The sequence below is a fragment of the Homo sapiens genome, chromosome 20 (assembly GCF_000001405.40).
Source record: "Homo sapiens chromosome 20, GRCh38.p14 Primary Assembly".
Taxonomy (NCBI): domain Eukaryota; kingdom Metazoa; phylum Chordata; class Mammalia; order Primates; family Hominidae; genus Homo; species Homo sapiens.
Genome location: NC_000020.11, coordinates 4,600,186 through 4,602,550, shown reverse-complemented (window position 1 = coordinate 4,602,550; position 2,365 = coordinate 4,600,186).

Below are 2,365 nucleotides of genomic sequence, written 5' to 3'. Positions count from 1 at the left end.
GTTCCAGATGGGTTTGGAAGTAAGTTTCCTCTTGGGCTGAGTTCCCAACTGCTTCGTCTTGGGGATGAAGTGAGGGAGGTGACCCCATCATGTGGGATGAGATGGGCATTACAGGGCGCCTAGCAGACCTATGCCTGGTGCAGTTCTGAGAGTGTCAGACAGGACATGAGCAGACCTAGTTTCCCGCCTGGCTTTGGAACTAACAGCCTCATCTCCATCTGGAAAATGAGATGCTTGGGCTAGAGTATGGGTTCCAAATATTTGGCTTATTAGTAATAGAGATTTTGTATATAAACTTGTATACAAACCCCTGCAAGTAGAGCTCCCTGGTAGCAGCTGGAGGTGTGTCCAGAGCACCCCACTGTCCCCACCATCATATCACATGTCACTGTCCCTACCGTCAGCTGGCAGTGCCTCTGCGGATCTCAGGATGCCTTAGAACACTGAACTTCAACCAGAGTGCCAGGTCCACAGGAGAGATTGACTGCTCCCAACACACAGGCTACTAGGTAGTTAGATAAAAATGAGAAATATAATGTCACTGTGATTAAAAACAAGAAACCCACGCCTCTGGATAAGAAATGGGAGAAGGTCACAGCTGAAAGCAGGAGCTCACACTTGTGGAGAGCTAAGAAGACAAGTGGGCTTAAGAGGGGCTGGGATAGCAAAGCTGCCCGGCAGGGGCTGAGCTGGCCACCCTGCACTGGCACGGGGCCAGGACCAGCTGCCTGATCATGGAAGGGGCTGAGAATGCTGCCCACACACCATGGGCTGTAGCCAGATTCTAGGCTGCTTGCCAGGAGCTGGGCAGAGGCCGCGGATGAGACAAGTGCTCAGTCCTGTGCCAGGTCCTAAAACCGCTCCACCCATTGGAATGTGGAGCCTAAGCTAAGCCACTACCATAAGACCTGCTTGGGAGCTAGGCACCCTGTAGATCCTTTAAAAAAAGAAGCCTTAAAACGGCCCTGAAGAGAGGTGTACCTGTGGGAAAGCCCTCCAGTGGAAAAGGGGCTGTCAAACATGAATTTCTAAACACATGATTCTAAAGACATGAGAAAATCTAGCACCAAGAATGACAGATCCACAAAAATAGAGGAATTTATGATTGAGGAAATAGACATAATAAAGCCATCTGAAAATGACATTAAGACTTTCAGGTTTAGATAAATACATGAAGAAAGAATAAAACATTAAAATAGATAAAAATAAACATGAAATTAAGTGAAATAATAATTTTTAGAAGTTAAAAACTCTCACATAAATAAAGGACAGCATAGTATCCATGAAATAATATGAAGTTGTGGGATAAGAAAGGCAGTTTTGAAATAGAAGAGGCAGATATGGGAGAAAAAAACCTCTTGGTTAGAAATCTGGGGTATGGGCCAGGTGCGGTGACTCACACCTGTAATCCTAGAACTTTAGGAGGCCCAGGCAGGTGGATCACCTGAGGTCAGGAATTTGAGACCAGCCTGGCCAACATGGCAAAACCCTGTCTCTACTAAAGATATAAAAATTAGCCAGGCGTGCTGGCACACACCTATAATCCCAGCTACTCGGGAGGCTGAGGTAGGAGAATTGCTTGAACCCAGGAGGCAGAGGCTGCAGTGAGCTGAGATTGCGCCACTGCACTCCAGCCTGAGAGACAGAGAGGCTCCGCCTCAAAAAAAAAAAAAAATCTGGGGTATGAAAATGCGGTCATAAAAAAACCCTCAGTAGAGTATAGATTGCTTTCAGTTGAAAGCATGGCTGGGAAATTAAAAGACAGGAGTGGGGGAAAATCCCAGGATTTAGTAATGATAATGGAGAAGCCAAGTATGAAGGAAAAGAGACAAGAGTTCAGTGGAGAAGTAATGTCCAAAGAGAGTTTTCCAGAAATCGAGACATGGCTCACTGAACTCCAAGCTGGAAACCTTGACAATTGCACCCCTAGACCTGCAGTGCAGCTGCAAAACATAAAGAGAAAAAACATTAATAAGACAGAGAGGAAAGACAGATAATGGACAAATAAATCACAGGCAGGTGACAGCAGGCTTCTAATCAGAAGCCACAGATGTCAGAGGAAATGAAGAACTATCTGTAAAATGGTAAGGGAAAAATTGTGATCATAGAATTCTATTCCCAGCCAAAGCATCATTCAATCGTGAGTGTAAAATAAAGACATTCTCAGACATTCAAGGAGTCAGAAAATAAGGAACTCATGGATCCTCACTGTGAGAATTAGAGAATATATTTCAGCAAGAAGAAAAATGAACTTTGGAAGGAGTGGGATGCAAGAAGCAACAATGAGCAAAGAGATTGGTAAGAAAATACATTGGTGATGCTAAACACTTTATTTCATCCCATCTAAGATGTTACCAATTATAAG